Genomic DNA, 15,989 nt, shown 5'->3' on the forward strand with positions numbered 1-15,989 from the left:
CTTTTGAATATTTTTTATTAATACACTTAAAGATGTGGGATGTGTGACCAAAAAGTTTGTGCATGATATGAAACTAGGAAGGATGATAAATACATTTCATGCAAGAAACAGAATCTTTTTTTTTTTTTTTTGAGACGGAGTCTCGTTCTTTCGCCCAGGCCGGACCACAGTGTCACGATCTCGGCTCACTGCAAACTGCGCCTCCCGGGTTCACGCCATTCTCCCGCCTCAGCCTCCCGAGTAGCTGGGACTACAGGCGCGTGCTGCCACGCCCGGCTAATTTTTTGTATTTTCTTTAATACAGACGGGGTTTCACCGTGTTAGCCAGGATGATCTCGATCTCCTGACCTCGTGATCCGCTGGCCTCAGCCTCCCAAAGTGCTGGGATTATAGGCGTGAGCCACCGTGCCCGGCCAAGAAACAGAATCTTAAAAGCTCTTGGCAGCTTGGATGGGGAATTGAATCTAAAATGATAGATCAGTGGGGCCACGTGCTCTGAATTCTCCACACGGTCCTTGGTCAGGCTACTGATCCTCTTCTTAGGTCCAGTGACACTTAGCTATCCATTCACATTTGTAATTGAAGACCTAGATTGATTGGCATTGGTAGCCGGTGTGAGCTTTACCAGCAATGCTGCATATGCTAATGTCTGACTAGCCCTGCAGATGCCCCCTCAATTATGTTGTGTAGTAGATCAGCAGGTAGCCCCCTACTTACAAAATCAAATACAAAGGGAAATTGTTTAGAGTGGGTTGTTTTCATTTTCTGTATCAAACTTTTAAATTTTTATGTAATCAAAACTATCATCAACTAATTCCTTTTAACTTTCACATGGAGGTTTATTATTGTGGATAAGAATGTGTCACACTGCCTGGTTTTGAATCCTAGCTTGTATTTTTCACTATATACACTTTGTTGGTCAAGTTATTTATTTAACTTTCTTGTGCCTTGGTAAAATAGGGATAGTAATTCTATTTACTTTACAAGCTTGTCATTAACTAAATAAGACACAAAGCCTTTACCCAGTGCTTGACACACAGTAATTTTCAATAAATGTTTATTCTAGCACTAAAAATGATATTAATAATATGATATGCTGATAAGCCACATCTGCCTCATATCTTCCTCATTCTGTTTACTAAAGAGGAGTTTTCACCAGCAAAGCCACAGAGCCAACAATTCTTCCTCATACTGTATCCATACAGCTGGTCTGGGAACCCACTAATGGGATATAATGTTTATCCCTGTTAACTATTATGTTAGATTCAACTCCTCATTCAACCTGTCAAGAGATTTTTAAATCCTGTTTCTTTTCATCAAATGTATCATTATCCCTCCCAGTTTCATGCCATTGACAAATTTTACAGGAATGCATCCCACCTCTTCAAGTATGCTGATAAAAATATTAAAAGGGGGCACACACCCTTTGGTGCACATCCGGATAGATCTGGTCAACCTCAGTCATTAATCAGTCATTAATCAATATACTCACATTGTTTTCAGACTGTTCTCTTAACATATTTTAAGCTCAAGGATTGGTTTAAAGGTTTCCCTTTTAAAAAATTAGAATGATACATGTGAGCCTGTCCCCATCTTTCTGGAAACTCCCCTTCTATAGAATACATCAAAGACCAGAGGGTCAACAATCTCAATTGTGAGATGTTATCTGTTTAAATGAGGAACAATATGGGCTTAATCAGAGAAAGAGAGCGCTTTCTTCTGTTTCTTCTCCCACATATGGCACAGTTTGCTCACTAATACAAACACTCTTCTGCATCTAAAGATCATTCTTCTTAACAGAGACAGAACCAAAAACAAAAAGAGTGGATGATTCTTCATTCTCCATCTCTAACAGCAATTTTTCACAGTCCTAGCCATTTCTTAGTATTCCCTAAGAATACTAAGAAATTGTATTGAACTCCAAAAAAAGATTATTAAATTTAATCTTTCTTTAAAAGCCTAAGCTCATTTTTAAATTACAAAACTGTCCTTACCAACTTATGTATGACACTATTCTAGTCTTGAAGCACCTCCTGTTTGCCCTGGAAGATCTGGTATATAATAAGTATCCAAACAAAAACTAGAAGTAGGACGTGGGTATTGTACTTTATTAATTCCTTCACACTATCCTTCAGACCTGATCACCAAAAAGAACTTGCCATGACCTGCAATTTGATGAAAAGTGGGTGCAGCACAGCCCGTTTTCTGAAGATTGTGGAACGATTTTATAAGAACCTTATGCTTTTTATTAAAACTTATAGAATTTAGTAACAAAAAATACATTAAAAAGGAGAGAGAGGGAGAGTTATTACAGAAGATTGGGTTTTCACGTAGCACCAGGAACTCCCATGTTTAAATGAAGTCTTGTAGAGCAATAATATTAATTGCATTCAAAACCACTACATTCCGGTCTTTTAAAAATGTCCCTCCATAAATCACTGTGTCTAAAGCCAGGGTTCAAATGAATGACTCCTCAAATTTATATTCATTCTGATCCAAAGGAATACAATCAAAATCAACCAACTTAACACATGCTTTTTAACTTTTATTGTCACCCTTTTACATGCATTTAAATCACAAATAATACTTTACAATTTTTCTTTCCCCAGTGCAGCATCTACCTTTCCTATTATTCTTCCTATTGGTTTTAAAACCTAATATAATGAGCTTTGGTTAGACCGCCTTGTGGTGGGAATCAAATGTATATGAAAACTAGATGCTTTTTAACATACAAATTTATGAGGTATTGTTTTAGAGCAACAAACATACTTATCATACTTACAGAAAATGGCTGTGTTGTCTGTTTTAATCTTAAAAACTCAATTTTTCTACAATAAACATTACTTTTTTATTAATTTTAAAAAAATAAAATTTAACTTTTGTAGAATACATTGAGACATTAAAAAACAGTAAATTACATTTAAGAAATTCTGAGCATTTAGTATTCAAATATTTCCAATTACCTTGAAGCATGCATCTGTAAGCAGATTCAGATATAGCATAGATGTGTGGAGGCATCTCATGACGCTTCTTCCCTCTGTACATTTCAATAATATTCTCAGAGTAAATTGGAAGATTCTTGTAAGGGTTTATAACTACACAGAAGAGTCCAGAATAAGTCTAGAATAAAAATAAAATAGAGTATTAAAAAAAAAACCTCTGCATTTATCAATCAGGGTCCAATCAGGAGACAGAAACCAAAGAGTCATTTAAGCAGGAGATCTTTACCTTTTGGATAATTAATCTATCCCCCAAATTAAACTTAGCCTATAATGGGCAATTTAGTACTATGAACCACAAGTAGTTCTCCCACAGATAGCTTATTAAGTGGCACTCTGCTGGACTCAATTTCCTCATCCATGAAGTAGAAATAATGCGAGCTTCCTGACTTCACGTGGCTATCATAAGGTACAATCAATATGTTATTTACTTTTTTACATTCATTCTCTCATGAGTACACAAGCTATGAAAAGCTCGTTAATGCAGTTTCAGATTCCATATTGCAATTAATCTTTAAGAAAATAGCATTTGTCCAGTTTGGGTACAGTATCAAAGAAGAATATCCACAATTATCTAAAAAGGGTATTAAAATACTCTTCTTGGCCAGGCACGGTGGCTCACGCCTGTAATCCCAGCACTTTGAGAGGCCGAGGAGGGTGGATCACAAGGTCAGGAGTTCAAGACTAGCCTGGCCAAGATGGTGAAACCCTGTCTCTACTAAAAATACAAAAATTAGCCGGGCACAGTGGCAGGCGCCTGTAATCCCAGCTACTCAGGAGGCTGAGGTAGGAAAATCGCCTGAACCCCAGGGGGCAGAGGCTGCAGTAAGCCTAGATCGCATCACTGTACTCCAGCCTGGGTAAGAAAGTGAGACTCCATCACAAACAAACAAACAAACAAACAAACAAAAGAAAAACCACTCTTCTTTTTTTCCAACTAAATATCTCCATGGCTGGATTTTCTTCATATGCCTTACCCAAAATGACATGTTATAAGAAAACAGAATGCAAAAGCAGATATGAGATTCCAGCTATGTTTGGTTAATACTAAAGAGATTTGTAAAAATGTAAGAGTTTTCATCTGTCTAATTTTTTTTTGTTTTGGAAAATACAGGGATTTTTTTTTCTTAAAAATGTATTTACTTATGTTAACTTGTCATGATTAACTACTATTCTTTTTAAATGAATTAATAAAGATTTAAAATGTATTTTAATTACTGATACAGTAAATATCAATAAACATAAGCCAAATAAACAAAAGCTCTTTGGGATGGATCTTCAGTAAATAAAAGCTGCTAGGCTAGAAAATACAAACTTTTCCTGATCAATACTATCAATTACACAGAATTGACCCTATGAATGCTTATGACTTGCGGGTTTTTTAAATGTAGACAGAATGATTTCTGAGAATATTCTACAAAACTGATTCTGGGCACTACGGAAAAACAAGAGCAGTCAGAACCGCTGACAGATGCTCTAACCCTCTAAGGGACTGAAGGCATCTGGAAGGGCACTCAGTTGCATTATGAAACAGATCTTTTATTTGAGGTGATTTGGGTAGACCAAAATCTAAAAGCAAGAGGACATGAAAAAAGGCTGGAGAATTGGTACTGTATGGCCAGCTTCCCCAGGGAACACTAAGGGGGATTCTAACTAACAGCCGTGTTCATAAGAGCTGAAACCCCCAGCAATTGCCACCAGAAAGCTCTCCAGAGACTACTCTGTTTACTAATGCTAAACCAAGAGAATGAAAGCCTGCCAAAAAATTTCAAGTGATCAGAACTGTCTCTCTGGCTGCCCGCCTTGTATTTTCCTGAACTCACAATTGCAGGCTCAGATGTGGAACGCACTTCCTACTTAGGTTAGCAGTTTAGAAGGGGCAAAGGGCCCTTATCCTAAATTCAGATTTGGGCTGTTTGCTGAAGCCTTACTACTGAGCAGACCAGGAGGTTATCTGTTCGTTCTTTGCCTGAGACTGTACTAATTACTATAGACTCCTCAAGTCTTCAGACTCTTGGCCTTCTTGTATGCAAAGTACAGACCTGGCAAACCCTGGCTGGCCCTTGGGGTTCCCAGACCAACACCTTGCACTTTCTCCCAATCAAGTCTCTTGTCTATCTAGTCCCGTATTTCTTTGCTGCCCACAGGACAAAAGGGCAATGAGGAACAATAAAAATAAAGGCTTTATTAAGGCTGAGAAAAACAAAGGAGAGGCAACCTCAATACCTTTTTAGGAGTTTAATTTATATAACGTTAACAAATCGCAACCATACATTGATGAATTTTTGTACAACCACCCTCACTTTTTCATTCAAAAATGAGATCACAGTCTATAAGGAAGCTACAGATTATACTCTTCAATTTTATAAAAGGCATGTAATTAGAGACTAGAAAGTAAAAAAGCTCCAAGAAAACGAAAATACACAAATTCAGTTTAGTGTCCCATAGCACGTATGGCATGGTAACAGATAATAACTGACACATTTAATCAGAAGTAATTCCAACATGTGTGTCTACCATGCATTAGGTACTTACCTGAGGACTACAATAAGAGAGAATAAGTCTCACAAATATGAGTTCATCATCAAAAATATAAAAGGTTAACTAATCATCAGTATCCCATGCTTGCCAAAATGGAGCAGTAATCAATGCTTAAGAAGGAACATTATTAAAGTGCTTAAAGAGCTAACTTCTAACTACCTAAAAAATTAGCACAAGTATTGAGCTCTTGTATAAACTGATCACTGAATAGATACTGCACCAGTTCTGTCTTCCCCCAGACACATGGTAGGAAGGCAATATGTTGTTAAAATTATTCTGGAGACCTTAAAGTTCAAATGAACTTAACTAAGTATTTGAATACACACAGAAGATACTAAGCTTCTTTAAGAAACATACACTCTGGGCATGAAGACAAATAGACGCACACTAAACAAGCTACAATGCAAAGCACCAAAAAGAGAAAGAGAAAGATGAACTGGTATTATAAATAACAGAAAGCTCTGGGGCAGAACACAACAAACCCCAGGCACTGAAAGTCATGACCACCTTGTCAGAGACTGTAGAACAAGGTAAAAAATGCAGACCCAAATGGTCTTTGATGTTCTTTTTAAAGACTATGGGGTCAAAAGGAGAGATAAAGGAATTCCTATTAAAGTAGTAAAAGCACAAAACTCTTACAGTGGCAGGATATACTCGAGGCAGTGCGAGAAGACCAGCATAGCAAAAATAGTTTGTACCATGGAATGTGAGCGACAAGGGCCTAAAAAAACAAACTGAACAATTCGGATTTTGTCATCTATGGGTGATGAGGTATTGAAGGTTCAGGAGAGAAAAGTGATTGGATGAAATAAGCATTTCAGACAAAGTACAAATCTGGCAGCCATACGGAGAACACATTGAAGGGGCAAAAGGTGAGAAGCAGGAAGACACGTGGAGACTGCTCAACGGTCCTTGGCACAACAGGGCCTAGATGACAGAAAAGGCAACACAAAACAGAGAAGGCCGGGACTTCACAGTGCTCAGAAACTTTCAACACAGAAAAGCCATTAAAGACCGAAGTCAAAGAGGACTCCAAGGTCTCCAGGCCTTACAGAAACATTATTCGTGGAAGGAAAAACAACTGATTTGTGGGAAAAGATAACAAATCCCTTTAATGTACTGACACTGTGGTATGGTGGGTGAGCCAAGCAGGATGCCTCTTGGGCAGCTGGAAATATTGGATTGCCAGAGCCTTGGGAAAATCCTGAAGAGCTGCAAAGGCCTGAAAGGTTAAGTTTGCATAATAACACTACTGTATACTTTACCTAAGGGAGACATACAAAAATATTTGCAGTTGGAAACATTTACAAATTTTCAAGCCCACTATGCTGCTTTATGCCTCCAGGCTCCCACCTATGCTGACCACTCTGCCTGGAATGCCCATCTTCCTCTGTCTATGATTGGGAAATTTTTTTTTTTTTTTTTTTGAGACGGAGTCTCGCTCTGTCGCCAGGCTGGAGTGCAGTGGCACGATCTCGGCTCACTGCAAGCTCCGCCTCCCGGGCTGACGCCATTCTCCTGCATCAGCCTTCCGCGTAGCTGGGACTACAGGCGCCTGCCACCACGCCCCGCTAATTTTTTTGTATTTTTAGTAGAGACGGGGTTTCACTGTGTTAGCCAGGATGGCCTCGATCCCCTGACCTCGTGATCTGCCCGCCTTGGCCTCCCAAAGTGCTGGGATTACAGGCATGAGCCACCGCGCCCAGCCGATTGGGAAATTTTTCAGCCTGGAAGTGCCCGGCCTCTGTTTAAGAAAGCAGGGCTATGTATATGCATTGTTTCATAGGTTCAAAGGATTAGAGAAACAGGAAGTGTAGGCTGGTGCAAATGTCAACGCAATGGAGCAGAGATACAATAGTCTCCTACTACGAACAGGGATTGAACTGGGAATATCATGTAACCCTACATCCCAACTGTAGCTCTCAGAAGAAATCAGACCACCATCGAGAAGGAAAGGGAGGAAGGAAAGAATAATTCACCCATACCACCTGCAAACACTGCACCTAGTTAAAATTCACATGCAAATTTTGAAAAAAAACCTAAATAATAAGATCATCATTCAGAGGATTCAGAAATAAATTACCTGTGGAAATTATCTATAAAATAACTAAAAGAAAACTTTAGGAGACAGATTTATATCTGTAACAGAATATAGTATAACATAGAGTCTACGTATTAGGACAGAAATGCATAAGAAAAAAAATAGGTGACCAGGGCCAGAAAAGACTGTAAGGAATCATCTGAAAACGTAAAATTAAAATCCACAGTGGAGAAAATAAAGGGCAGAATGGATACCTCAGGAAATCAAGTGATAAGAGCAGACATTTATTATAGGAGAGCATCCTTCTTAAAGAAAAATAGAACAATGGTAAAATAATAAAAGAAAATGACGTTACAAAGGCAAAACTTATCAGTAATAATAATACATAGAGGGCAGAGGAAGGATAACTAACATTAGTTGCTATTGCTTCTTTGAGAGAAAATAGCAAAAACACTCTGTAAAAAAAAAAAACTTGAGAAAACTGTGTGTGTGGAGGAATACACATTGAATTAAAAGGAATTCGCTAAGCTAACAAACGCAGAAGGAATAATGGCACTGGACTCACCATTTTGCAGCTCCCAGTGCCACAGTGGATCTGCACAATGCCCATCACTATTAAAATTTTTAGGTGACTGGCAGATGAGGCCACTCCTCATGCACAAACCAGGCTGGCAAAACCTAAAATGACTCACTACTGATCAATCTCAACATCATAAAGTGAGAGACAATGTAGCATTAAGTGTCTCCTGAATCTGAATCCGTTTAAGCCTCTGGATCCAATTTATGGATTTTTCTCCTTCCAGTTTATAGGGAGCACCATAGGATTGCAAAAAAAAAAAAAAAAAAAAAGGGTTGGGGGAAGCGGCCGGGCATGGTAGCTCATGCTTGTAACCCCAGCACTTTGGGAAGCCACGGTGGGAAGATCACTTGAGCTCAGGAGTTCAAGACTAGCCTGGGCAATATAGTGAGACCCCTATCTCCAGAAGCAAAAAAAAATAAAAAATAAATAAAAATAAATAAAAAGAGGGGAGAGAAAGAGATTAAAAGTGATATAACAATTGCTATGCTTTGACTGTGTCCCCACAAAAGCATGTGCTGGAAATTTAATCCCCAGTGCAACAATGTTGGGAGGTGAGGCCTATTGAGAGGTGCTTAGATAATGAGGGCTCCACCTTCATCAATGGATTAATGCCAATTATAAAAGGGCTTGTGGCTATAAATTCTATCTCTTGCTCTCTCTTGAGCATGCTCTTCTTGCCCTTCCGCCTTCTCCCATGGAATGATGCCGCAAGAAGGCCCCACCAGATGCAGCCCCTTGACCTTGGACTTCCCAGCCTCTAGAACCATAAGCCAAATAAACTTCTCTTGTTTATAAATCATACAATCTGTGTTATTTTGTTATAGCAACACAAAACAGACTAAGCAACCAATCTCAATATGTCAACCTTGTTTGGATCCTGAATTGTACAGACCAACTATTTATGAGATTATTTATGAGACAAAAGGAAAATAAGAAAAGTAACTGAATATTTGATGATTAGAGAATTGTTATTTCTTTCTTAGATAGATAATAGTTATGCATCCCAAAACCCGTTGCTGAGAAGATGCTAAGCAGAGCTTTCAGCAGCACAAAAGTCTAAGAGAACAAAAATTAAAACATTCCAGTCTACTCAGGAAGAGGTTGGTGTGGCGGTGGTAAATACCCCAAGCTTTCAGCTGGGACCCTGATGGCTACACCCTAAGAGTTAAGACTATATGAGAAACAGACCAGCCCTCACACAGCGTGAAGCCCAGTTGGAACAGAAGTCAACTCCTGCATGGACTACATGTCCTAGTTTCCCTAAGCCTGCCTGCCCAAAGCAAAACTCTAGAATAAGCTTAATGCCAGCCAGAGTCTCAAACTATTTCCACAATTCCTTGTACACAATAACTGGGCATATGAGGCAACAAGTTGTGGCTGAAATCCAAGATAATATCTGGAACCTCTGTGTGTCTATTTTTATTGACTTGTATTATTGCCCTGGGTTACAATATGTTCAAGTAATTAAAGACGTGACTGAGAATTCTGACAGAGAACTGGAAACTATTAAAGGAAAAACCCAAATGAAAATTCTAAAACTGAAAAACAAAACAAAACAAAACAAAACAAAAAAAGAAAACCAGTAACTACAATTAAGAATTCATGTGTTAAACAGCAAGCTAGATACAGCTGAAGAAACAATTAGTTACACGGCATTTTAATCAGAGGCAAACAGCCAGAGTGATCCATGGGGGAAAAACAAGGATAAAAATGTAGAGGAATGTGAGACCCAGATGGGACGAGGTGAAACGATCTGGAGCATGTGAAGTATGTGAGTCCAAGAAGGAGAAAAAAGAGAATGAGGCAGAAGCAGTATCTGAAGAGATAATGGCTAAGAATTTTCCCGGACCAACAAAAGCCATCAAGCCACAGAGTCAAAACCACTACAATCTCCAAGCTGAATGCAGTAGTGCCCCTTATCTGTGGTTTCACTTTCTGCAGTTTGTTGTCCACAATCAACTGTGGTCCAAAAATATTTGTTGAAAAACTCCAGAAATAAACAGTTCATACATTTTAAATTGTGCACTATTCTGAGTAGTGTGATGAAATCTGGCACAATTCCGCTCCATCGTGCACAGACCGTGAATTATCCCTTCGTCCAGCATCATCATGCTGTACAGCTATTAATCACTTGGTAGCCCTCTCAGATCTCAGATCAACTGTGTTCAAGTCACCTTTATTTTACTTAAGAATAGCCCCAAGCACAAGAGTAGTGATGCTGGCAATTCTGATATGCCAAAGAGAAGCCACAAAGTGCTTCCTTTAAGTGATATGGTAAGTTTTCAACTTAATAACGATAAAATCATATGCTGAGGCTGCTAGGATCTATGGGAAGAATCAATCTTCTATCTGTGAATTTGTGAACTAGGAAAAAGAAATTCATCAAATCATCACAAGAAGAGTACAATAAGATATTCTGAAAGAGGGAGAGAAACCACTTACATAACTTTTATTAAGTATATTGTTTTAATTGCTCTATTTTAATAGTTATTGTTGTTAATCTCCCACCACGCCTAAATTGTAAATTAAATTTTATCATAGGTATGGCCAGGTGCGGTGGCTCACACCTGTAATCGCAGCACTTTGGGAGGCCAAGGAGGGGGCAGATCACGAGGTCAGGAGTTCAAAACCAGCCTGACCAACACGGTGAAACCCCGTCTCTACTAAAAATACCAAAATTAGCCAGGCGTGGTGGCGCACGCCTGTAATCCCCGCTACTCAAGAGGCTGAGGCAGTGGAATTGCTTGAACTGGCAGGTGGAGGTTGCAGTGAGCCGAGATTGCACCGTTGCACTCCAGCCTGGGCTACAGAGGGAGACTCTGTTCTGTCTCAAAAAAAAAAAAAAATTATCATAGGTATGTATGTATAGGAAAAAACATCATATATATATGGTTCAGTACCATTTGTGGTTTCAGGCATCCACTGGGGATCTTAGAATGTATCCCTTGAAGACAAGGAGGACCCACTATATACAAAATAAAACTTTACCTAAGCCCATCACAGTAAAAGTGTTGAAATCCAAAGACAGAGAAAATTTTAGAGACAGCCAGTGGCCGGGGTGGGAAAAGGAAAACCGATGACCTTCAAGGGAACAACAATCAAACTACAAGCTGAATTCTCAACAGAAAAAGACGAAAGGCAGAACCCGATGCAATGGCATTTTCACAATGTTAAAAGAAAACAACCGCCGGCTCTGAATTCCAAATCCAGCAAAAACCAAAAAAACTTCAAAAATAAAGGACGAGTAGATACTTCAGATAAAAGGGGCCCTTTCTAAAAGAACGGAAGCTAAAAGATGTGGAAAAAAAAGAGTAATGGATAAAACTAAATGAATATCGACAGTATTAAAATGTAATATGTGTCTTGTGGGTTTTAAAATATAGAGAGAATTAAACAACAAAAGCACATAAATTAGGAAGGAAGAGGAAATAAATTTGTTCAGGTGCTCTCAGGCCCTACCTATCATGATCTACAAAAGAATAAGAGCTCCACATGTCTAACAGGTCAAGGATCCATGTTGGAATATGTAACCACTAAAAGAATAGCTAAGCAAATAGCAAAAATGGACAGCTAACACGAGGTGAAAAGACAGAATAATAAAAATTATAACCAACGGACAAAAAGATTAAAAAATAAACATAGAGCGGGTAGGATAAAAAGAAAGCAATGAATCAGAGGACAGATTTAAGCTAAAATGTAACAGTCATTACATCACATGTACATAAACTAAATATTCCAGCTGAAAAATATTGTCAGATTTGGGACAAAAATAACCACCATAAGCAGTTTATGAGAGACATATTTTAAAGGCACAGGCACAGAAAAGCTGAAAGTAAGTTAAGAAAGCAATTAACCACACAAACACTAATCCAAAAAAAAAAGGCTAATGCAAATATCAGACTTTGCAAGAAAACAACAGTCAATTTTGCAAGAAAACAACATCACTAAAAATGACCATTCCATGATTTGCCAGAAAGACATCAAATTTCTACATCTGTATATACGTGATAATAGCTTCAGCATGTACACAGCAAAAATGGACAGAACTAAAAAGGAAGGGATTTTCACAGTAACTGAAACAACAGATAATAAAGTATATGTATTTTTCAAGTGCATAATAACCCTTTACCAAATTAATCACATAACGAACCATAAAGCAAGTCTAACAAATATAAAAGAATTGAAATTATTCAGGGCATGTTATTTGACCAAGGGGGGAATCTATTAGAAATAATAAAATAAACCTGAAGATCCCCTAGATTTAGAAAGTAAGCAATTCACTTCTTTTTTTTTTTTTTTTTTTTTTTTTTGAGATGGATTCTCGCTCTGTTGTTCAAGCTGGAGTGGTGCAGTGGTGCAATCTCGGCTCACTGCAGCCTCTGCCTTCCCGGTTCAGGCTATTCTCTGTCCTCAGCCTCCCGAGTAGCTGGGACCACAGGCACACGCCACCACACCTGGCTAATTTTTGTATTTTTAGTAGAGACAGGGTTTCACCATTTTGGCCAGGCTGGTCTTGACACTGGCCTCAAGTGATTCATCCACTTGGGCCTCCCAAAGTGTTAGGATTACAGGCATGAGCCACTGTGCCCAGCCTAAGCAATTCACTTCTAAATTACCCAGAGAGTCAAAGAAAACATCCTCATTAATTTCAACTGAATGCTAATAAAAATGCAACATATTAAAACTTGTAGAATACAGCTACAGCAGTACTTAGAATGAAATTTATGGCTTTTAAAGCACACATATAGAGGACCAACAAAGTCAAAAGTCTATTATTTGCAAAGAATAAAAAAATTGATAAGCCTCTGGTGACACTCATTTTAAAAAAGGGTAATACAAATAAGTTATCAGTATCAGGAATAAAAGAAAACATGACTATTAATCCTACAGAAAATAAGCATATTATGAACAACTTATACCAATAAATTTGAACATTTAGATGAAACAGATAAATTCCTAGACAAACATAATTATCAAAATTGACACAAGGCCAGGAGCAGTGGCTCATGCCTGTAATCCCAACACTTTGGGAGGTCAAAGTGGGTGAATTGCTTGAGTTCAGGGTTTTGAGACAAGACTGGCCAACATGGTGAAATCCCATCTCTATTAAAAAATACAGAAATTAGCCGGGTGTGGTCCCAGCTACTTGGGAGGCTAAGGCAGGAAGATCACATGAGCCCAGGACTTCAAGGCTGCACGAGCTATGATTGCACCAGTGCAATCCAGCCTGGGTGACAGAGTGAGAACCTATCTCAAAAAAAAAAAGAAACACTGATACAAATAAAAATCTGAAAAGTTCTGTATCTATTATAGAAAAACTTTCCCACAAAGAAAACTCTATCATTACTTTAAAAAGAAATAACATCAATCCTAGCCAAACTCTTCCAGAGAACAAAGATGAAACATTTCCCAATTCATTTGATATAACCAGCATAATCTTGATAGCAACATATGACAAAGATATTATAAGAAAGGAAAATTTTAAGTTAATCTCACTGATGAATGAGGATGCAAAAATCCTAAACAAAATACTAGCAAACAGAATCTAGGAATCTCACTCTCTCTTTGTGTACATATAAAGAATATTTGGTCCTTGCAAGGTTAATTTAACACTCAAAAATATGCACAATTCTCCACAATAACAAAATAAGAAGAAAAATCACATTATCATCTCATTGAATAATGGAAAAACATTTGATAAATTAACATTCATTAATTTTTAAAAAATCAACCATTCAGGATAAAAAAATCACCCATTCAGGAATACGAGAAAATCTCCCTTAATCTGATAAAGAATCAGTATTTAAAAAAACACCAACTACAGCAAATATCATTCTTAATGATGAAATGTTGACAGTTTCCCCTCTGAGATCAGGACTGATACAAGGATGCCTCTGATTATCACTTCTGTTCAAAAAACATTGTACTGAAAATTCTAGACAGTGCAATAAAGCAAGTAAAAGAAATGTGTGTCAACTGGCTGGGCATGGTGGCTCACGCCTATAATCCCAACACTTTGGGAGGCTGAGGCAGGCGGATTGCTTTTGCCCAGTAGTTCGAGACCAGCCTGGGCAACATGGCGAAACCCTGTCTCTACAAAAATACAAAAATCAGCCAGGCATGGTGGTACATGCCTATGGTCCCTGCTACTCGGGAGGCTGAGGTGGGAGGATCGCCTGAGCCCAGGAGGTTGAGGCCATAGTAAGCCATGAGTATCCCACTCCACTCCAGCCTGGGTGACAGAGCAAAACTTTGTCTCCAAAAAAAAAAAGTATAAGATTTAGTGAAAAATAAAACTCATTATTTGTGGACAACATGTGTGCTCATAGAAAATCCAACAGAATTTTCGGCTAAACTATAATAACCAATAAGTAAACTTAGGTCACTGAAGATAAAGTCAATATACAAAAATTAATTGTAAAAAATACAGTATTTCTACATAATGATAACAATTATGTACATATTATCTATATACCATATGAATAATAAGGGAAAAATTTAAACACCATTTAAATAATATTCAAATAAAATAAAATACCCAAAAATAAATAACAAAAGATGTACCTGGCCTCTACAAAGAAAACTATAAAACAATATTAATAAAAATTAAGAACTAAATAAATGAGTTTACCCAGGAATTAAAGATAAAATATTATAAAGATCTAATTTCTCTCCCAAACTGATCTACAGAATCAGTAAGATCCCAATCAAAATTTCAACAAGGTTGTGTGTGTAAATGAAAAACTGACAAGCAGATTCTAAAATTATATTGAAATGCTAAGAACTTAACAGCCAAAACAATCCTAAAGAACAAAAAATAGAGGATTTACCACACTAAATACCAAGACACATTATAAAGCTGTAATAAGTAAGAAAATGTGATATTAGCTGAAAGATAGGCACACAGACCCAGGAAATACAACAGAGTCAAAAACATACTTATGAACCCTGATTTATGACTAAGATGCCCCTTCAGAGCAGTGGAGAAAGGATTATGTTTTAGTAAATGGCACTGGGTTAACTGGCTAGCCATATGGAAAAAAAAAAAAGAATCTTGCCCCAACCTCACACCATACACAATATTCAATTCTAGATGGAATTGAGGCTGACCCTAAGAAAAGGATCATCAAATTCCCTTCCCCTCTGGCTTCAAACTGAGTTCAACCAATGGGAGACATCAGCAGGAGACTAAGGGTGAGAAGAGAAGGTCAGGATATTTATGCCCTAGGTTCTCTCCCCACCATGAGCTGCCTTTCATGCCTCTAAGGAAGGCAATTCCTATCAGGTAGCCCTCTCCATATAGGTACCTCTCTGAGTTGAGGCAACAGCTCTTTCCTAATGCTTCTTTAAAGAGCAAGATGTTTCAAGGGCTCTCAGTCATCACTAGTGCTGAGATACTGCACTAGTCCTCATTTATTTTTTAAACCCTACCCACATTATTTGTAAATCTACCCTTTATTAAACTCTCAAATACCTCGTTTGAGAGCCTTCTGTTTCCTTCTGGAACTCCAACTAAATCAGACATTATCTAGAAAAGCTGAAGATATGAGTTACAGATATGCATATCCTATCATCCAGGAATTCCACTCCTAGTTACACACCTTACAGAAAGGCATGCTTACTGTGCACCAAGTACATGTATATGGCTGTTCATTGAAGCAATGATCATAATATTACAAACAGAGAAAAAAACAATGTACAAAACAGTGGAGTAGGCAGATAAATTCATTGGGTCAAAAATATTATGATGGAATACTATATTCCAACAAAAATGAATAAACTACTCAAACTTTTAAAATTTCACAGCCTTTTTGCACTCTTAGAAATT

The 15,989-nt window shown here is 37.9% G+C and overlaps 1 protein-coding gene across 4 annotated transcripts in view; it reads right to left on the bottom strand.

Annotated features, from left to right (window-relative positions):
• The window catches only part of MYH10 (myosin heavy chain 10), a 156,514-nt gene that overhangs the window by 127,651 nt on the left and 12,874 nt on the right, over positions 1-15,989 (bottom strand). For all 4 annotated transcript variants that reach the window (NM_001375266.1, NM_005964.5, NM_001256095.2 and 1 more), the window contains exon 3: positions 2,964-3,120. In NM_001375266.1, the coding sequence (NP_001362195.1) occupies positions 2,964-3,120 (157 nt within the window). The remainder of the gene's footprint in view (positions 1-2,963; positions 3,121-15,989) is intronic.

Source organism: Homo sapiens, chromosome 17 (assembly GCF_000001405.40).
Source record: "Homo sapiens chromosome 17, GRCh38.p14 Primary Assembly".
Lineage (NCBI taxonomy): Eukaryota > Metazoa > Chordata > Mammalia > Primates > Hominidae > Homo > Homo sapiens.